At 37.6% G+C, this 22,837-nt stretch overlaps 1 long non-coding RNA gene across 1 annotated transcript in view; it reads left to right on the top strand.

Annotated features, from left to right (window-relative positions):
* Window positions 1-22,837, top strand: part of LINC00474 (long intergenic non-protein coding RNA 474) — a 37,046-nt gene that overhangs the window by 4,088 nt on the left and 10,121 nt on the right. Inside the window, exon 2 of the long non-coding RNA NR_024032.2 lies at window positions 16,478-16,749. This is a non-coding gene — a long non-coding RNA (long intergenic non-protein coding RNA 474). The remainder of the gene's footprint in view (window positions 1-16,477; window positions 16,750-22,837) is intronic.

Genomic DNA, 22,837 nt, shown 5'->3' with positions numbered 1-22,837 from the left:
GGTATTTTCTGTAGGTACTCACCATATATTTTCCTGCCATCATGATAGCACATTTCACTTAGCAGCTATTTTGTAAATATTTATTAAATGCATAAAGGAATGAATTAATTGATGCAACAAATAGGTCAAATAGGTAAATGAGTGAAGGCAGAAATTAATTATTCTTACCTAACGCTAATGAAACTTTTTGAGGAGAAGAACCATGTATTTTTACCTTTGTGCTGCCTTGGAGGCTAGCATGTTATCTAATATGTAATGGTTTTTTATAAAACAGATATAGATTTATTGGAATATTATCACTCCTAGTAGATTAAATGTCTTTAAATACTTTGGACTATAGTCTATGGTTATGGACTACATTCCACATGCTTTTTCAAATTCTTCACAGATTCATTTATTAAATAGGGAATCCTTTTCCCCATTGTTTGTTTTTCTCAGGTTTGTCAAAGATCAGATAGCTGTAGATATGCGGCATTATTTCTGAGGGCTCTGTTCTATTCCATTGATCTATATCTCTGTTTTGGTACCAGTACCATGCTGTTTTGGTTACTGTAGCCTTGTAGTATAGTTTGAAGTCAGGTAGCATGAGGCCTCCAGCTTTGTTCTTTTGGCTTAGGATTGACTTGGCGATGCAGGCTCTTTTTTGGTTCCATGTGAACTTTAAAGTAGTTTTTTCCAACTCTGTGAAGAAAGTCATTGGTAGCTTGATGGGGATGACATTGAATCTATAAATTACCTTGGGCAGTATGGCCATTTTCACGATATTGATTCTTCCTACCCATGAGCATGGAATGTTCTTCCATTTGTTTGTATCCTCTTTTATTTCATTGAGCAGTGGTTTGTAGTTCTCCTTGAAGAGGTCCTTCACGTCCCTTGTAAGTTGGATTCCTAAGTATTTTATCCCCTTTGAAGCAATTGTGAATGGGAGTTCACTCATGATTTGGCTCTCTGTTTGTCTGTTATTGGTGTATAAGAATGCTTGTGATTTTTGCACATTGACTTTGTATCCTGAGACTTTGCTGAAGTTGCTTATCAGCTTAAGGAGATTTTGGGCTGAGACAATGGGATTTTCTAGATATACAATCATGTCGTCTGCAAACAGGGACAATTTGACTTCCTCTTTTCCTAATTGAATACCCTTTATTTCCTTCTCCTGCCTAATTGCCCTGGCCAGAACTTCCAACACTATGTTGAATAGGAGTGGTGAGAGAGGGCATCCCTGTCTTGTGCCAATTTTCAAAGGGAATGTTTCCAGTTTTTGCCCATTCAGTATGATATTGGCTGCGGGTTTGTCATAGATAGCTCTTATTATTTTGAGATATGTCCCATCAATACCTAATTTATTGAGAGTTTTTAGCACGAAGGGTTGTTGAATTTTGTCAAAGGCCTTTTCTGCATCTATTGAGATAATCATGTGGTTTTTGTCTTTGGTTCTGTTTATATGCTGGATTACATTTATTGATTTGTGTATATTGAACCAGCCTTGCATCCCAGGGATGAAGCCCACTTGATCATGGTGGATAAGCTTTTTGATGTGCTGCTGGATTCGGTTTGCCAGTATTTTATTGAGGATTTTTGCATCAATGTTCATCAAGGATATTGGTCTAAAATTCTCTTTTTTGGTTGTGTCTCTGCCTGGCTTTGGTATCAGGATGATGCTGGCCTCATAAAATGAGTTAGGGAGGATTCCCTCTTTTTCTATTGATTGGAATAGTTTCAGAAGGAATGGTACCAGTTCCTCCTTGTACCTCTGGTAGAATTCGGCTGTGAATCCATCTGGTCCTGGACTCTTTTTGGTTGGTAAGCTATTGATTATTGCCACAATTTCAGATCCTGTGATTGGTCTATTCAGAGATTCAACTTCTTCCTGGTTTAGTCTTGGGAGAGCGTATGTGTCGAGGAATTTATCTATTTCTTCTAGATTTTCTAGTTTATTTGCATAGAGGTGTTTGTAGTATTCTCTGATGGTAGTTTGTATTTCTGTGGAATTGGTGGTGATATCCCCTTTATCATTTTTTATTGCGTCTATTTGATTCTTCTCTCCTTTTTTCTTTATTAGTCTTGCTAGCGGTCTATCAATGATGCTGGGAAAACTGGCTAGCCATATGTAGAAAGCTGAAACTGGATCCCTTCCTTACACCTTATACAAAAGTTAATTCAAGATGGATTAAAGACTTACATGTTAGACCTAAAACCACAAAAGCCCTAGAAGAAAACCTAGGCATTACCATTCAGGACATAGGCATGGGCAAGGACTTCATGTCTAAAACACCAAAAGCAATGGCAACAAAAGACAAAATTGACAAATGGGATCTAATTAAACTAAAGAGCTTTTGCACAGCAAAAGAAACTACCATCAGAGTGAACAGGCAACCTACAAAATGGGAGAAAATTTTCACAACCTACTCATCTGACAAAGGGCTAATATCCAGAATCTACAATGAACTCAAACAAATTTACAAGAAAAAAACAAACAACCCCATCAAAAAGTGGGCAAAGGTTATGAACAGACACTTCTCAAAAGAAGACATTTATGCAGCCAAAAAACACATGAAAAATGCTCATCATCACTAGCCATCAGAGAAATGCAAAGCAAAACCACAATGAGATACCATCTCACACCAGTTAGAATGGCAATCATTAAAAAGTCAGGAAACAACAGGTGCTGGAGAGGATGTGGAGAAATAGGAACACTTTTACACTGTTGGTGGGACTGTAAACTAGTTCAACCATTGTGGAAGTTAGTGTGGCGATTCCTCAGGGATCTAGAACTAGAAATACCATTTGACCCAGCCATCCCATTACTGGGTATATACCCAGAGGACTATAAATCATGCTGCTATAAAGACACATGCACACGTATGTTTATTGTGGCACTATTCACAATAGCAAAGACTTGGAACCAACCCAAATGTCCAACAATGATAGACTGGATTAAGAAAATGTGGCACATATGCACCATGGAATACTATGCAGCCATAAAAAAATGATGAGTTCATGTCCTTTGTAGGGACATGGATGAAATTGGAAATCATCATTCTCAGTAAACTATTGCAAGGACAAAAAACCAAACACCGCATATTCTCACTCATAGATGGGAATTGAACAATGAGAACACATGGACACAGGAAGGGGAACATCACACTCTGGGGACTGTTGTGGGGTGGGGGGAGTGGGGAGGGATAGCATTAGGAGATATACCTGAGGCTAAATGACGAGTTAATGGGTGCAGCACACCAGCATGGCACATGTATACATATGTAACTAACCTCCACATTGTGCACATGTACCCTAAAACTTAAAGTATAATAATAGTAAAAAAAATAAAATAAAAATAAAATTCTTCACAGATTCTAGCACAGTATCTGGTGCTTAGTAAGGTTAGACCTAGCAATGTATGTTTTATGTCATCTTTGGGATTTCAGTTTCTCCACAAGTGGTTCATGAATAACTTGTATCACAATATTAATATTAGAACCCAGCAGAAATCATTCTTAGTTCCAATTCCAAGACAAAGCATGAGAATTTTTAACAAGCTTGTTGGGTGGTTCTGGTGAACAAAAGTTAGAGAATCATCTTCTAAACTAAGAGCTACTTGAGGATAGAACTAAGTTTATGCATCTTTGACTTTCTTGTAATGCATCATTAATTCCCAGCTCACAGTTGGTCTTATTTATTGAATGTAGGAGCTTTCAGAGTAAGTTACCTGCTGGCTGTGATGACTGTTGATGTGGTTTGGATCTGTGTCCACATCCCCTCCTGCCCCCCACCAAGTCTCCTGTTGAACTGTAATCCCCAATGTTGGAGGTGGGACATGGTGGGAGGTGATTGGATCTTGGGGGTAGATTTCTTATGAATGGGTTAGCACCATTCCCTTGGTGCTGTTCTCATGGTAACGAGTGAGTTCCTGTGAGTTCTGGTTGTTTAAAAGTGTGCATCTCCCCCTTCTCTCTCATGCTCCTGCTCCTGCCGTGTAAGATGCCTGCTCCCTCTTTGCCTGCTGCCATGATTGGAAGTTTCCTGAGGCCTCCCTTGAAACAGAAGCTGCTATGCTTCCTGTACAGCCTGAAGAATCATGAGCCAATTAAACCTCTTTACTTTATAAATTACCCAGTCTCAGGTATTTCTTTATCACGATGTGAGAATGGACAAATAGAACTGTCAAATTGGTGATGTACTACCAAGGTAGTCAAGTTAACAGGTGATCTCAAAAGGGTGAAATTGTGTATCATAGTTGTTTTTGCCAAAGTGCTTCTGGCAGTTAGGAGAGAGTGCCTCAAATCTTGTGAAACTAGGCGTTCCCAACACTGCGCATGGTCTGGGACCTTATCTAAGGTATATGCTACCCGTATTGTTGAGTTCACTAATCTCTGAACTCCACAATACCACCTACTATATTGACATTGATCAGGCTCCCTGTAAACAGACTCCAAGGCTGAGATTTGTGTGTCAGAAGTTCATCAAGGGGTGCTTTTGTAAGATACACCTGTGGGAGTGTGAAGGCACTAGGGCTGGGCAAAGGGAAGAGTTGGGTCTCATGCAGTCACAACAGAGACTTCCATCAGTCCCACTGGAATCACTGGAGCTGGGATGGCCTTCAGAGTTGTTCCACATGAGGCAAGGGGGCCATGTTTTTGTACCCCACATTGAAGAGTACTGGATATGGGCTGGCCCTGGGAAGAGGTGTGACCTAGGGTGAGGAGGCTCCCTGAAGTAGAGGGCAGTTGGTAGCTGGAGAGCTGATAGTGAACAGCAATCCCAACATCAGGGAAAAGGAGCCCCTTAGTCCTGAAGAAAGGTAACTGCATGGCACACTACTGCATCCAACATGTAAATTATCTACAATAACCATTTCTGAAGAATTTACAGTTTGAAGATAGTACACTATGTTGCAGTAAATCATAGGATTTGGAGTCAGGAATAATGAATCTAAATCATACTGCTTCTTTTTATTAGCTGTGTAACCTCCATAAGTCACTTAAATTTTCAGAATCTCAGGCTTTTATTTGTAATAGTGGTGTTTGTCAATGCCTGGCTCCTGGAAGATGATACATACAAGCACCTCTGCCTCCTCAGCCTTTCCCCTTAAAGGTTATTTAGCATTGTCTTAACATTCATTCATCTGTCAGACATGCCTTTTTTGATTTGACTAATTATATATTTGTAAAACTAAAATGACTTGGGCGTAGGTACAGTTGTATCCCTTGAGCATGTTTACTAAATTGGTACCTTTTGAAAAAAATAACTTCATTTTATTTTATTTTGAGACAGGTTCTCACTCTGTAGTCCAGGCTGAAGTGCAGTGACATGATCTTGGCTCACTACAACCTCCGCCTTCTGGGTTCAAGCAATTCTCCGGTCTCAGCCACCCGAATAGCTGGAATTACAGGCGTGTGCCACCAGGCCTGGCTAATTTTTGTATTTTTCTGTAGAGACAGGGTTTTGCTATGTTGGCAGGCTGGTCTTGAACTCCTGATCTACAAGTGATAGGCCCACCTTGGCCTCCCAAATTGCTAGGATTACAGACATGAACCATCGTGCCCAGCAGAAAAAAATAACTTTAAAAGGAAGTACATTGACAGGCTTTATATTATGACATTTTTTATCATAATGTGATAAAAAAGTAATTAAAGGAAACAATATGAAAAAAATTAACCACTTATTTAAAAAATATTTGAGTGCCTATACCCTATGCTAGCCCTATTCTGTGTGCTTAGGATTTATCAGTGAACAAAGTAGATGGAAATCCTCTCTTTTTCAGAGCATACCTTCTAAAAGGGAACTAAAAACAAATTTAAATAAATATACACGTTTGTTAGAAAGGAGTAAGTATGGGAAAAACAAGGCTTTAGGGAGGATGCAAATTGCAGTTTGAAATAGGGTGATCAGAGTGAGCCTCACTGAAAAAAATGGCATTTGAATGAGCATTGTAGGTGTTATGGGAGTCAGCTTTGAAGAAGAGTATTCCGAGTAGAGATCACAGCTGGTGCAAGGATCCTGAGGCAGGAGGATGCCTGTCATATTTGAGGAATAGCAGGGAGACAGGTAGAGAAGGCAATCAAAGTGTGATGCTTTGACTATCCTAGCCTCTCCGCCAACACACAATTCAGGGCCTACCCTCCCAAAGCCATTTCTAAGCCTCTCCCTAAGCCCCTGCTCTGCTGCAGTAGGCCACACTATGTTACGTTCGTTCCTCTTCACTTTCTAACTCCACACATGGAGCAGGAAACCACGTACATCATGGAGTATTATTATTCCAGCTCTCCTCTTTTTCTATAGAAACCACAATAGTGGACTCAGTCTGGAAAACATCACCAGGATAGAATAAAAAACATACACACAAAAAAATCTAAGTTACACAGAAGCCTGGAACTGACGTCCCCAAATCCTGTTTCAAACACAAGCCTGGAATTGACACCCCAAATGAGCTTCCACAAGATGACTCAAGGCCAGTCTTCATCTTGCTTCAGTATGTGCATGATAGCCACTAAGAGAAACTGATCTTGAATGTTTCCACAACTTGAATGTTTCATCCTGGAGTGGAATTTATAAAATGGAAAGAAAAAAATAATGATTTGTGGTATAAGTAACAATGCTGCCTCTCAGACGTATTCCGCCCCTGTGATCTGGATTCCATTTGGATCGAACATTTTCATAGATGTACACACACAGGGTGGTTCCCATTGCTTAAATTCGTACTCATAACTCAGCTTTAGTATCCCAAAAGGATCTAGTGATGGATCTCACAATCTTGTAGAGAAAACTGTTCAAGATTTTAACTGAAGTCGTTGACCTCCAAATCTTCTGTGATTTTATTCCTGAGTATTTCTGAAGAAGGAAAATTCTGGATCCTTTTCCCCACGTTCAGTAAAAGCTACATAATTTCAGTCCTCGAAAGCCAGAAAACCTACATATTTGCTGGTCATGATTTGGTGCATTTAATAGTGTGCAGCTCCTTTTGAAAGACCTAAATGTTGTTATAATATTTCTGATGAATTATCCAAAACACATTTTTGCTCTCTGATTTTTCCCCAGTGTCTCTAAAAACCATTTTGACAATGCTACCAAATAACTGTACTTTTTGTCAAGATGCTTAAAATTCATCAAACTCTTTTTTATCTGTAAGAAAGAATCCTGTAACTGGAACAGAATGACAAAGATTTGACACCTAGCACTTCCATGTATTACTTTCTGATCTGAAGCCAAACACTTAGGCATTCTGCACTACAGTGTCCAAGTCTGACTAAGCTACTCACAAGAAACTATGCAACTGTACTGTGGATTAAGCTTTGCCGGATAACTATAAAGTGATATTCAAGTGAAAGAGGCATTAAGGTCTGCTGCTGGTGGTCATGGAGGTCTCCTTGTCCCTGACGTAAAATTCTATGACATACAGCGCAGTTGCTTAGATTTTTCTAATCCTTTAAAAAAATCAAAAGCACTCACATGTGCATTTTCTTATTCTACTCATATTATGTCTGTTTCCTTTGGGAGTTAACCCCTCTGAGTCCCAAATCTATATCTTACAGCTCTTGAAACACCATCCTGTTTCTCACTAGGAGGATCAGTTTATGTTAATAATTAAGAACTTAGACTCCAGGGCCAGAAAGATTGCAAATTCTTTCACTCACTAGCTGCCATGGATACATTTCTTCACTTCTCTAAGGCCAAGTTTTACAAAGTAAACATAATAATGGTAATTACTATATAGGATGTTGATTGTATTTAATGAAATAATGCATATAATTATTTTAGCATAGTGCCTGCTACATAGCAAATGCCTTAAAATTGATTATTATTGTTGTTGTTGCTGTTGTTATTAATATTATTATTTAACCATAAATGTTATATAACTCTGTTTTTTAAATTAGGCATTGAGATTTTGTCTGCCAAGAAAAATGACTCTGGGTCATTAAGGTTAAAATGTTTAACATGAATATAATGTTATTAATACACTTTTCTCATAGATCATCACTTCTTTAAAAAAGAAAGCCATTCTGATGCATTATTCTGATCTCTGTGTTAAAAGGAGTTTGGAGTGGAGGATGGTGGGGAACTGAACCATCAGGTTTAACTGAGAATCCATTGTAATTAAGGTGCTGGGCTAAGAATAGAATTGAGATATTTGGACTCTAATCAATATGTACTTAAAAGAGAGAGGCCTTTCAAGTGGAAGAGAAAAGGGTATTTGACCAGCAATTCCTCTGCTACCATGTACACTGCTCCCTCCAATTTCTCTAACAAAACACACACGTAGAAACTTCGATGTCCAGGTTACTTTTACTAGCTATTCCCAGTTTGTCCAGCTCTCATTACAACCTGATGCCTTTTTCCCTGAGAGATGAAAAAAAAAAAAAAAAAGCTTGAAGTTTATGCAGGTACTTTGTTGCAATACAGATCCCGATGAAATTTATGATCTTGCAGACTTCTGTTTGAATCTTAGCTCTGACATTTACATTAGCTGTGTGACCTTGAGAAGATTCTGAGCATCTCTTGACATATTTTCCTCTGATCCAATGTGATGATTAAATGAGATAATTGAATCTATCGTTTCTTGAGTGCCTATCATTCTTCTTGTCCTAGGCAAGGTGAGAGATACCAAAAAATCTTTACATAGAGTCCAACTTTAGGAGAGATGAGATATGTATGTAAATCACACTGCGCTATTATGCACATAATGATGACTTAATAAATGATAGCTGTTTTATTATTGTTATTATTATTAGCAGTAATCGTATGATCATGATTATCTGCTATTGAAGAGCACTGGGCAAGAGAAGACACATAGGTTTTCTAGGCAATGGGAGCAACCAGAGCAAATGTGTTTGGGCTGGAACCCAAATGTAACTGGGACACTGAATGCATGTGTAAAGCTGACAACACTTAATAATTGCAAAACTCAGGAAGTAAATGTTGAGTCTTAACCCTACCGCCACTCCCCAGTACACACTGGTAAGTGCAAAACCAAAAGTAGAAGGCGAAGATTTTGATACACCTCAAGGCAGCTCATTTTCCTGCATCCTTATAGCTAGGACTATGCCTTAATCTTTTCTCCTGAGCAAAGGGACTATGGGAGAGAAGTTCAAACTTCGAGCGTTTCTGAGGTGAGAGGGTTTAAAGAGAGCATCTCTGATTGCCCCTTGGAAGTTTTCACAGGTTTCTTTTTCTCTAGATGTGGCAGATGATGGGGTATAGGATACAGCCTTGCTGTCCGATATAAAACCAAGGAGTACAGTGAACTAGGATGCCAGAATATCAAAATGGAGCTTGGTGTGTTTGCTCAGTTCCTTCTTTGTTTTATATTTCGGGAAACTGAAGCTCAGGGAGGGGAAAACTTGGGTAAAATCATGTAGCCAGAAGGTAGTAAAAACTACAGCCGATAGGAACCCAGGATGTGTGGCTCAAAATTGAGCCCTGTTTTTTTTTTGGGCTTTTTTTTGTTTTTTTTGTTTTTGCCATATAACACAGTTGTTTGACTCCACAGAGCATATTACAAAAGAGTATAACTGCAAAGTGCCTTAGATACCTGAGGCCTCTCATTTTAGAGATGGGAATACTGAGTGAGGCCTGCAGAGAAAAATGGACTTGTCCAAGGTAATAGTGAATAAATTGTTGCATTTCAATTAGAATGTAAATCTATGTACTCAAACAATATACTTTCTAGTGCCCACTCTCACACTGTTGCAAAAAGGTCATGGGCTGGAGAATTTTGGGAGCAGTCTCCACTCCTTGAGGTTTTCTGCATATAGACCAGGAGTCAGCCTTTGAAAGCCTTAAGCTTGTGGTTGGCCATGCTCCAGGTTGGCTGCATGCACCTCCCAAGTGGCAATTCCCATGAAATATCTCACAAAAACATGGTGGAAAGGAATGAGATCTTTTATTAAATCTGTTTTAGGCTTGTTGGCTGCTGGACTATCTTGGCTAGTTCAACTTCTTCCTCAATTTCTTGGCTCTTAAACATAAAGTACAGGTGCTGAGCTTGGGAGTCCAGAGGACTCCAGAATGCTGACCTCAGGGTGAATGATCCCGCGGGTGCTCTTTGTACATAGAGCACCTACTGGCTGAGTGTTGCTGGCCAGAGCTACCTATAGAGATAAGCCATTCAGCTCCTTGGCCAGGTACTAGTGAAAGAACCACAACAAACAAGGGCATCTGGAAACATGTAATCAGAATTGGCACACTTGCAGGGGAAATGCAGTGCAGTATATTAAATTATTTCTGCAACCACAGCTCTGTATTTAAAAGGGAAAAAATAAGCACACATAATGTTTCATATTTCAATTTTAAAAGAGGGAGGCTTGGTTTTTAACGTCAAACACAGAGTTCAGGGCAAGGCACACAGTTGGATTTGTAATTTATTTTCATATGCTTATTTATTTATTTATGGCTAACCAAGTTCCACAAAGAATATGAAGCAAAGGATTTGTATTTTTTTTTCTTTTCCAAGTTTGTTTAGGCCAATAGTTGTCACTGAGTGGCTTATCATTGCACTAGAAATTTGGGGGACAGATAAAAGAAGACGCGTCATTCTTGGCCTCAAGGTCTCAATCACAGGAAACAAAGATAGAATCATGATGATGATGATGATGATGGACACAATGTTATGGTTTATCAAGTATTATCACCTGTGGTAACCTAATGATCTTCTTAGGTGATACTGCAAGCAAATATAATTTCCTCTAGCTTACACAAAGTACTAAATTGATATGATGTAAAGAAAGGAAGAATGGTCTACTCAGATTCACTTGGCTGATACTTGGTAGAATCAAACCTGGATTCCCAGAATTTTAAAATTGAAAATAAAATCCTTGATTGATCAGTTCGGGCACTGAGATAGAAAAGAGGAAGAAAGGCTGAAATTGTTTAGAAACGCTTTATGAAAGACACGATATATGACTAAGCAAGAAAGACAAGTAAGAGTTTGTTTTGGTGGAATTGAGAAAGAAAACAGCAATGCAGCGAATGACTTCTCCTCCCTTCACAGAGGAAACTGACCAAGTTTAAACACATTCCACATCTACTTGGTGTTAAATGCTTCCTGAAGCTCATCCACTTGCCTTGTTTGCTATCCAGAATAGCACCACAGGTGGTTCAAACTATCCTGACGGTTACAAAGCCCAGCTTTCACCTTTTCCTGGGTGAGGGACTAGTTTTGGTCATGGCCTCCATCAGGACCACTGCAGTTAGAGCCCGAGAATCTCCAGTCTTGATGGGATCCATGGAGCCTCTGGCCGCATACACAGGCTGGGTGGTAAAATCCTTTTCACATTCACCTGGATGATACTTGGTAGAGTCAAACCAGGAATCTACCCACCAGGAAGACTTTTGTCAATGGAAAACAGGAACACGAGAAGGACGTTGATAGACACATTTCTTTTTCCATTTTTCTATCCTACCTTTGTCACGCTGTTTTGAGATGCAGCAGCCTTAAAGGACCAAACAACCAACTATGTTTTCTTGAGAAGCTATAACCACCTTATAATGGCTTTCCCTTAAAATATTATGTTTGCTTATTTCTACAACATCAAACTCTCCTTGTTTTTCTTGTTCTTTCTGCTCACACCTTAGTTTTCTTTGGAATTCTTAATATTGAAATGCCCAGGTCTTCGTCTTTGGACACTTTCTTATCTAGGCTTAATATTTTTGGGTGAAAAAGCATTCTTATTGCAGATAAATATAAAATGTTTTATTTTTTAGCCCAGACTTGTTTCTTGGACTTTCAGATTTGTTTATTAAATGAACTGCCTGATCAGTATTTCTTTGTGTATGTCTAATCAGCATCCCAAACTTAACATGACTACAACCCAACCTTTTATCTTCCACATATACAGCAAATAAACAAACTTGCTCTCTAGTAGTTTTCCCCACCTCATGAAGTGCCCGTTCTAACCTGCAGTTGCTAGAGTAACCTTTGACCTCTTTTGTTCAACATCCCCCTACCATCTCCAATCCGTTAATGAATACAGAATCAATCCATTTATCCCCCTTCCACAGCAAGATGCCATCGTATTTTGCTAGATTAGTGCAGAAGCCTCCTAACTAATAATATCTTTGCTGCTACCCCATTCCCCTAGTTTCAAGGCAGAAGACTGAGCAGCTTTTTTAGAACATAAATCAGATAACAGCTCTCCTTAGCTTAAAACTCTCTTAAATTTTGCAACTTGCTCAGACTGGAAGTCTGTCCTTAAAATGGCCTACAAATCCCTCTCCAATCTGCCTCTCCATGATGTCAATAACCTTTTCCTTTCTGTTTCCACATCAACTATCTTAGACTCTTTGTCCCTCCTCCAACATGCTACGCTTGCTCTCTCCTTGGGCCTCTGCACTCGCCATTCCTCTGACTAGAGGTAAGGTACCATAAATAGGTGCCTGGATCACTTCATCACCTCTTCAGGTCATTGCTCCAAAGACATCTTCTCAAGAAAGCCCCTTCTGACCACCTTATATAATATTCCCACTGAACTCTTGTCTCCTTTTTCTGCTTTATTATTTATTTATATTGATACATATTTGATGTACATATTTTGGGAGTACATGTAATAATTTCATACCTTCATATAATCCTAATCAGGGTAATTAGGATAGCCAACACCTTAAATATTTAGCTTTTCATTATGCTAGAAACATTCAACTTATTCTCTTCTAGCTAGTTTGAATGGTACAATCAAATTAATGTTAACTATAGTCATCTTATTTAATTTTTTTTGTATATGATTTCTCCCATTAAACATGTGTCTCGTTTCACTTATTTATTTGATGGATTGTCTATATCTATCCTCTCGTTATAAGCACCATGAGTCTTGTGCCCTCCTCTAGCCTCCTATCCCCAGCCCCTGAGACAGTATCTGGCACATGGAAGATGCCCAACAGATATTTGTTGAATGAGTGAGCACTCTGTCTCTTTGCCCTGAGTGCTCTATGATTGTCTTTCCTTTGGGATCAGTGTTTCCGATTGCTGAGGTGATGAGAAGGGTGTGGTAAAATGCCTTTATGGTCATCGCTTGCTACTCAGAGCCTCAACAGAAGCTGCATCCCCCCGCCCCAGCACCCACGTGCAGGAAAACACAGCACATCCTCTGCAGCATATATGACTCTGGCCCTTAACAGAGAGCAAGAGCATTAACATGAACATAGTCTAGGCTTACAAAAGGCTGTCTCTGATCTATCAGTCCCTTCCCTCAAGCAACTTCCAGGCTCATAGGGCAGGTAAAGCATTCCCAAGCAGCTGGTATAGTGTGCTGATGGCAATGAGTTACAGAGTGACATTTGCACATGCAAAAGGGAAGGAACAGTATTGGAAAAAGGCTTTAAGTTTTTATTTGAGCCAAATCTTAACATGGTATTTCAATAAGCAAAAATAAAATGAAAAGGGGACATTAAAAAAAAAAAGATATTTACCATGGGACCATGGGACTTGAGAGAAATGGATTCTGGAAGCTGTGGCTGAGCATCTGAATTTATTCAGGTTCTGAAGGGCAGCATTATGAGTGGACCCCAAGATCAACAAAGGCCTCACAGAGCCAGGCATTTGGTGACAGTTTGTGAGAATGTAACAATGCAAAATTTAGCCTGTATTGGCTGTCATTATCCTAGAAGTCTCTTTCAGACAATTTAAAGGACTCATGACAACTCTTAAGAAAACAAAATACATATATCAAAATGTGTACCTGAGGGAAGTAAAATGTTCTGTTTGGCTTCTGTACCAGGGCTCGTTAGTGAAGAATGAATAAAGCAAGTGTTATTATTATTATTATTATTGTTATTACAATGATAATTCATGTGGTTGCTTGTGTGGAGCAAAGAAATTCTTGTGTAAATGGCCTTTAATAGTAGTTGATGAACATCTGGACTCTCATGTATCAGGTCAGCTTGCAGAGAATTTTACTTTTAATTTACTGGCTTTTGTGTTCATCCTTTCACTTTTTAAAAGTTGGGAAAGTAAATGCAATTTTAACAGGACAAGCAATTTACACTATAAAATGTATTTTGTGGTTCCGTTAGTGAATTGAAGCTCTAGCATAGGCAGCTTATATGCCAGTTCATTAAAATATATCTGCCCTCAAATAACAGACAAAAGGATCTAGGACTAGAAGATAATAATTTTGAACCCCTGCCTTGCTAATTGTTAGCTGTATGAACTTAGTTAGACACTCTTCCAAACCTTGATTTCCCTCTTTGTGAAACAGAGAAAATACTAAGGCTATTTCTAGGAAGATCCAATGAGATAAGATCTAATAATATGAAGTGCTTTGCAAATTATAAATCTCAATTTGTCTAGAAAATTTGTGTTCTTATTGCAGTTATTGCTTATATATCAGTTCTTCTGTCCCTTCCTCAGTGTCCTCATTAAGAGATGCTGACAAAAATCAGTTGCATTTATATATACCATTAAACTATTTGAAAAAAATTAAGAAAATATTGTCATTTACCAATAGCATCAAAAAATAAAATAAAAGACTTTGGAAAAATTTTAACCAAGGAAATGAAAGATGTGTTCAGTGAATACTATAAGATATTGATTAAAGAAGTTGAAAAAGATACAACTAAATGGAAAGATGTTTATGTGCATGGACTGGAATAAGTAATATTGTTAAAATATCTATACTACCCAAAGCGAGCTGCAGATTCAATGCAATCCATATAAAAATTTTAATGGCTTTTTTTTTTCATGAAAATAGATAAAACAGTCCTAAACTTCACCTGAAACCACAAAAGACCCTGAATAGACCAAACAATCTTGAGCAAGAACAAAGCTGGTGGAATCATACATTGTGATTTCAAACTATATTACAAACCTATAGTAATTGCAAAAATATGGCATTGGCATTAAAAAAACAGACATATGGACCAATGGTACAGCATACAGGACCCAGAAATAAACCCATGCCTATAAGGTCATATCTTTGACAAAAACTCCAATAATACACAATGATGAAAGTACAGTATTTAAATAAATGGTGTTGGGAAACTGGATATCCACAAGTAAAAGAATAGAACTGAACTCTTATCTTATATCACAGGCAAAACGTAGCTAGAAATGAATTAAAGAATGTAAGACCTGAAATTATAAAATGTCTACACAAAGACATAAGGGAAAAGCTCTTTGACTTAGGGAAAAATCTCTTTGGTCTTGGCAATGATTTTTTAAAATATGACACAAAAAATCACAGACACCAAAAACAAACAAATGGGACTATATTAAACTAAAAAGTTTCTGCACAGCAAATAAAACAATCAACAAAATGAAAAGACAATCCACAGAATGGGAGAAAATATTTGCAAACTACACATTTGATAAGGAATTAATATCAAAAATATATTCAAAATTCATACAACTTAGCAAAACTCTAAGAAGAAAACAAAACAAAATAACAACATACAAGCCAATTAAAAATAGGCAAAAGATTTGCATAGATATTTCTCACAAATAGACATATGAGTGACCAATGGGTATGTTAAAAAGTGCTCAACAGCACTAATCATCAGGGAATTGCAAATAAAAATCACATTGGGATATTACCTCATACCTGTTAGGATGGCTATTATTGAAAAGACAAGAGATAGCAAGTGTTAGTGGGGGTATGAAGAAAAGGGAACCCTTACACTATTAGTAAGAGTGTAATTGGCATGGCCATTAAGGTGAACAGTTTGGAGGTTCCTCAAAAAATGAATAGTAAAACCACTAAAAAAATGCTCCATAAATCCCACTTATGGCTATTAATTCCATTGCAAAGGAAATGCACTTAAGATGCCAAAGAAATATCTGCACACCCACATTAATTGCAGTATTATTCACAATAGCCAAGATATGGAAACGCCCAAAGTGTCTGTCAATGGATGAATGGATAAAAGAAGTGTGGCATATATACACGATGAAATATATTCAGCCAGAAAAAAAGAAGGAAACCCTGCCTTGCGACAGCAGGGATGAACGTGAAGAATATTAGGCTAAGTGAAATAAACCAGATACGGAGGGACAAATTCTGCATGGTCTCACTTACATGTGGAATGTAAAAATGTCAAACTCACAGAAGCAGAGTAGAAAGGTGATTGCCAAAGGGTAGGAGGTGGGAGAAATAGGGAGATGTTCAAAATGTACACACTTTCAGCTTTAAGATGAATAACTTCTGGGGATCTCAAACACAGCGTAATAATGTTGGTGACTGTAGTTAACAAGGCTGTACTGTATACTTGAATTGTGCTAAGGCAGTAGATCTTATGTATCCTCACCACACGCACACATGAAAGAAGGTGACAGATGTATAAATTAGCTTGATGTTGATGATCATTTCACAATGTACACATTTATCTAATTATCACATTGTGCACCTTAAATATATACTGAACAATATTTATTGATTGCACTTCAACAAAAAATAAGACAAAATTATATTTAAAAAAAAAAACAGACAAAAAACAAAGATATGCTGAATTTAATTAGTCTCTGGTTTTATTTCTCCTACTCCTCTTCCCAAAGGCTCTGTGTTAGTGGATTCACAAGCAACCTGTACTCCTCAAAGAAAGATGATAAGATGAAGGAGATCTCTAGAACCAGCAACTGGGGCTCTTCCTTCAGTGAAAAAAGTGGGTGTATGCAGACTCATCCATCCATGAATCTAGATTGCAGGGATGTGACCTATGTAATGAACTTGCTACTTATTGCTCATCATCATCTTCTTCAATGACAAAAAAGAAAATAGTAACAATGAATACGTCTCTTGGGCAAAATAAATAATGAGATTGTTACAGGTAAGTCTTTTAAAAATCTTTTATTGTAAAGTATTTCATAGATAGATAAAAGGTTGGTACCCATAATATATGAAGAACCTTAAAAATCAATAAAAATGTCAATTTAAATGAGCCAAGGTTATATATAGCCAATTGACAGAAGAGAAAACATAATGGCTTATAATGGCCTAAAAATATAAAAATATGATTTACCTCATCAGTAATAAGGGAAAAGTAAAAATGAACAATCCAAAACAGAAACAAACGTAACAACAGTGACAGACCACTTTACATCTAACAGCTTGATAAAATTAAATATCTAATGTGTTCTATTGATAATTCAATAAATTCTAATTGTCTTTAGTCCTGTATATTTTAGCCACTTTAATGAACTTCTGTGGGTTTTTTTGTGTGTGTTGAAAGAGGTCAAGGAACATTATAATTATAATGATATAAAGTATTCCATTTACTTATGAAGTCTTGTGCATTGCTTTGTAAATTTTTCACTCAATGACCAGCTTAATGCACAGTTAAATTAAAAAAAACCTTGCTGTTTCAGTCAATCTTTGTTTACCAAAGATTCCCTCTTTTTCCATCTTGGCTCTGAGGTGTACTTATTCCATGTATCAGAAAAAACTAAACATTTCCTTAATAAACATTGATTTTGTTCACATCATTTTAACCATCCAGGATTTAAGCCACTTCAAAGGGCTTTTTTTCTGCACTAAATGGGACATTGGGCTCAGCGACCTTTTAGCTTCTTTCCAACTTTGAGATCATATAACTACATAGATTCCAAATGCATTTTTAGTATTTTAAACATACTATTCAAAGAAAAGTCAAAGGATTGGTGGAGAGGATTGTGAGGGTGGGCTGGGCATATGTGGGATGCAGTAAGGGGTGGAGTTGGGGAGATCAAGTGGTACCAATTGTGGGTTGGAATTCTGTAAGCAGCCATGGGTCACAGATGAATCTTACAGAGGGCTTAAAGAGTAGCATGTGCACAAAGTTACAGTCACACAGCATTCACTCTGGAAGGGTTGATGACATCTCTGTCTCTACATCAGGTCCGCAGCCTCTGGAGGTGGGTCCTTGTAACCACCCTCAGATTCATCTGCAGTGTTTTTTTCCACAGTTCCCTGGGAATCTTCCCCCACAGGGCTCTCCCATCCTGTCCCAAGCTGAAACTTTCCCTCCAAGTTCTGTCTCCCTGATGTTAGAATGGGTACCACCTGCAAGCCATACCATGGAACTATTGCCTCCTGCTTAGAAGAGGCTTCTGGGAAGCATATTTGCCTTCCTGCACATCTGGGGGATTATGTCAGGGCCTTGGGAGGAAAGATCAAGCTCTTTGAAAATGAGATTATATTTGCAGTTGTTTATCTGGCTTCCCAGAGAGTGAAGAGAGATGGGATGGGTGCTGAGGAGAGGAAAGATTTGCTCAGAGCCAAGAACCCTGGCCTGAGAGTCAGAAGGATTATTTAATCTTAATGAAAAAATGGGTTTAACAAAAGTGGCCAATTAATAGAGGCCTTTTTAATGGAAATATTTATTGAGCTCTTACTACATGCCAGGAACAGTTCTAGGCTCTGAAAATACATCAGTGAAATGAGATAAGACAGGTTGCCCATTCTTACAAGTTTAGAATCTAGTGGTAAGTAGGGAATGTGAGATAATTTTCATATTAAAATTAGGATAATTCTATTAAAGAATTCTATTACGTATTAAGATAATTCTATTAAAATTAAGATAATTCACTTAAACAGCTCATTACTATTTCTGGGACATTGTAAAAGCTCAATACATGGTAGTTATTTTTAAATGCTCAATGGTAGCTAAATCTAGAAGGTAGAACACTGTGGGTCTTGCAGTATCCTTATCATCGTCAGCACTTAATAACTATTATATTTATTGAATGGCTGAATAAATGGCTCTGCCAATTGACTAGATGTGAGACTTGGAGAAAGTCACTTTCTCTCTCTGGGATGCAGATTTCTCTTATGTACAATACAGAAAGGAGAACACTGTTGATTCATGGCTCCCAATAGCGATCCCAATTCACAATGACCCCATCCTCAGTCCAGATAATTCATCCCGTGTCCCTCAGTCTCACTTAAAGGGCCTTACAGGAAAAACCTCCACTTATCATTTCACACTAGTCTTCCACAAGACCTCTAAGCTCAAGATGAACCAATCTAATCACCATCCTCTAAATTCTCCACGTGTTTCTCGCCCCTAGGCCTCTGCTCACAGTACTTCCTCTGAGAGCTTTCTGTTCTCTTCTCCATCCAGTTGACTTTTTCTTGTTATTGATGTTTCAACATCAACCGTCTTCCCTAGATAATCACCCTTGCCATCTCTTCATTCTCACCTTGCACATTTAGGCTCCCTTCTACTTTGCTGGCAAAGCTCCCGGGGCTTAACTTTAACTCAGCATGGGTACATTTAATTGTGATTCTGTTTTAGTGCATTTTTTTTGAGATCAGAGATAGTTTTATGTATTTATTTATTTTTGTATCCTGAAAGACTCATGGTGCCTTTCACATAACAGATGCTCCATAATCTTTTTTAAGACAGGGTCTCTCTCTGTAACCCAGGCTGGAGTGCAGTGACATTAACACAGCTCACAGGGTCTGGGAAAGTTACCCAGGCTGATCTTGAAATCCTGGGCTCAAGCAATCTTTCTGCCTTGGCTTCCCAAACTGCTTGAATTACAGGTGTGAACCACTGCACCCAACCAATAAATGTTTCTTGAATTGAACTGAATTGTCCTCCATATGCCACTGGGACAAAAATTGCCAGCCATCATTTTATAATGAGTTCATATTAATGTTGACAATATTTTTTTTCACAAAGTATATATTCTTGGAAGGTATTTATCTACTATAACATGCCTTCCTACATTGCCCAGCTGAAGAAACAAATAGAACAAATTTCAAAGTCTGGATGTCAAAAATAATATATGATTCCATGTTAAGCTGAAATAAGATTATAGAGAACTATCAATGCACTAAAGTAGAAAGTCATTTATACTTGATATAAGTTGGTCTTAAACCTAGTTCTGCCACTTTATTTATCTCCCTTCAATCTCTTGGGGGCAATGCAATTACTAGTAGAAAGAGTACTCGTTTTGGCATGAGACGAATCTGGATTCAGTTGATATACATATATCTTTTTCTAACTCTGTGAACTGTGAAATGTAGTATATTCTTGAAGTGCAATTCTTTCATCTGTATCATGGTCTAACTAGATATAATACGTAGGGTGTTCTTAATATTTTATAAAATGATTTAAATAAAGAATTTAACATAGAATCTACCCCATGTGAAATACACAATGCAAATTGGTTTTTCCACTTATAAAATTAGGATCTTGGGGACAGAATGCATCTGAGGATGTAGCTATGTCTATGAAAATGGTATGCCTAGTTATTGGCCATAGTTGATATTCAATATATGTCTGTTAACATAATGAAAATGGTGACATCATAATAACTCTTTTGTTGAAAACCAGCACTACTTCCTGAAACATATTTGAGTCAGTTAGAAGCTAGTTTTCTGATGAAGAAGAAAGTAATAAAAACAAGTAAGAAGACATAAAAAGAAGATGAAGAAAAGGGAGGAGGAGCAGGAAAAGGAGGAGAAGGATGAGGGAGATGAAGAGAAGGAAGAAGCAAAAGGTGAAAAAAGAGGAGGAGGAGAGGAAGGAGGGGAAAGAGGAGAAAAATTGTTACAGAAAGATGAGAAAAAATGTGATACGTGTATTATTAAGAAAAAGGAAATACCATCAGTTTGAAATAATTTTTAGAGTTTTCAGCCCAGAACAGTCCTGGTAGACTTTGTCTCTACCAAAGGGTACCATAAGAGATATTGGGATGAAGTTGCTTTCATCCTTATTTTACAAAGGTCTGCCAACATCTCTTAGGACCAAGTGCTCTATACTTGTGAATTTCTTGGAATTCCAGGATAGCTACAGCCTATGTTTTAGTGACCCAAGGCAGCAAAATTGCAAGGGTCTAAACTGGATTTCTTGATTTAGGATCAAAAGTCTGATCTTTTAAATAGCTTGTGGAGGTTAAAAATGGCCAAGCCTTGACATCAGGGAATTACCCTTTTAAAAAATTATTATTTCTTTAGAAAGCACCGCATGTCTGGATTTTTCCATCTCATTATTGGCATGACCATTTTTGCAGGCTTAGTAATGATACTCTTTTTAAACTTTAGTCATAGTAATGAGGCCCTTTTAGGAGAGAACCAAAGGCTCCATATTTAGTCTTTCAACTAATGAGCTTGGGTAAAATGTTGAATTTGTTATGTGCTAGAGAAACAGTTAATAATGCAGCAAAAACTAGCTTTAAGAGGCAGTCAAGCTTGCCTGTGTATTGGTCTTATAATCAGGAGGTATGCATGTAAACAAGTTAGGCCTTTGCCTTTTCTTGACTATTTGGTTTAATAATTTCATCAGCTTTTTTCTTTGCTTGATATCTTTTTAATTCACTTTACATTTTTATATGTTATGACATTAAAAAGGAAAATGTCATAATGAAATATAGATGCCTTTAGGCACTTTTTCTTTCCTTTTTTCCTTGTCTCTGATTGTAAGAAAAGAGCTTCAATGTGGTAATATACAAAATAAATAAAGTTCTAAAAACAGTATAAAACACCTATATAGCACCAACCGGAAATGTATGTGTAAGTGTGAATGTACACACTCACACACACACACACTCACACATACACACACACAAATATGATCTATATGTCTCTTTCTAGTTTTTAGTCTGAACTTTTTATTCTTCATCTTTATATACTACCTGCATAATTTTATATTCAACTGTTTTGTTGTTTGTGTTTTTGTTTTCAACCTTAGATGAAGCATATAATTGAGTCAATCTTACTCTGTTTCATGGTAATTATCCCGATTCTTTCAAGGCCTCATACTTGTTTTATTTTACTTAGTATTTTATCTTCTATTCATTTTCTCTCCCTCCCCTTTTCCCCTTTGTTCCTCCAAACATCCAGACTAGCATATTTGATGTTTCTTAGATATACAGTCAAGCTTAACACATATTTTGTTGTTTTATATAAATATACATTTTTAATTTTCACAAATAAAATTATACATTTGTTATTTATTTCTTAATTTATTCAATAAATACTGTGTTTTTAACATTTAACCTTATTCTTCCAAGTGCATCTAGTTTTTGTCTTCTGACTATAATTCTGCTTTGTATTGATCACCCTCTTCTTTTTAATTTACCCAACCTTTTGGTAATAGACATTTAGATTAATCTACTTCCTTACTACCACACGTATCTTATGAATAAATATGTCATGCATGTCTCTTGATAGACTTGTGCGTGGCTTTCTCTGGAGTAGATACCCAAGAGTAGGATTCCTACATCCATGGCCATATACACATGCAATTTCACTTAGTATTACCAAGATTTGCCCTTGAAATTGGCCACACCAGTTCAGGCTCCCACCTGTAGGGCAGGGAGTGGGTTCCCATTTCACTCCTGTATTAGTCCATTTTCATACTGCTATAAAGAACTGCCTGAGACTAGGTAATTTATAAAGGAAAGAGGTTTAACTGACTCACAGTTCAGCATGGCTTGGGAGGTCTCAGGAAACTTACAATTGTGGTGGAAAGTGAAGGGGAAGCAAGTCGCCTTCCTCACAGGTGGCAGGAAAGAGACCTGTGGAGGGAAGTGGAAAGAGCTCCTTATAAAACCATCAGATCTTGTGAGAACTCATTATCATGAGAACAGCATGAAGGAAACTGCCCCCCATTCAATTACCTTCACTTTGTCTCTCCCTTGACCTATGGGTATCATGAGGATTACAATTCAAGATGAGATATGGGTCAGGACACAAAGCCTAACCGTATCAGCTCACTCACCCCATATACAATAAGGCACAATTGTAAGTATGAGCTAAATATAAAATAGTATATGTTATCTCTGCCTGCAATATTCTTCCCCCAGACATTCACATGGGTCACTCCCTCTCCTTCAAGTCTTTATTCAAATGTCAATTTATAAATGAAGACTTCACTGTAGCCCTTTAAAAAATTGCAACCCCAAACTTTTTATTCTCTTTTTGAAATT

This window comes from Homo sapiens, chromosome 9 (assembly GCF_000001405.40).
Source record: "Homo sapiens chromosome 9, GRCh38.p14 Primary Assembly".
Lineage (NCBI taxonomy): Eukaryota > Metazoa > Chordata > Mammalia > Primates > Hominidae > Homo > Homo sapiens.
The sequence above is the reverse complement of the archived record's forward strand: the minus strand, read 5'-3'. Positions and strand labels throughout refer to the sequence as shown.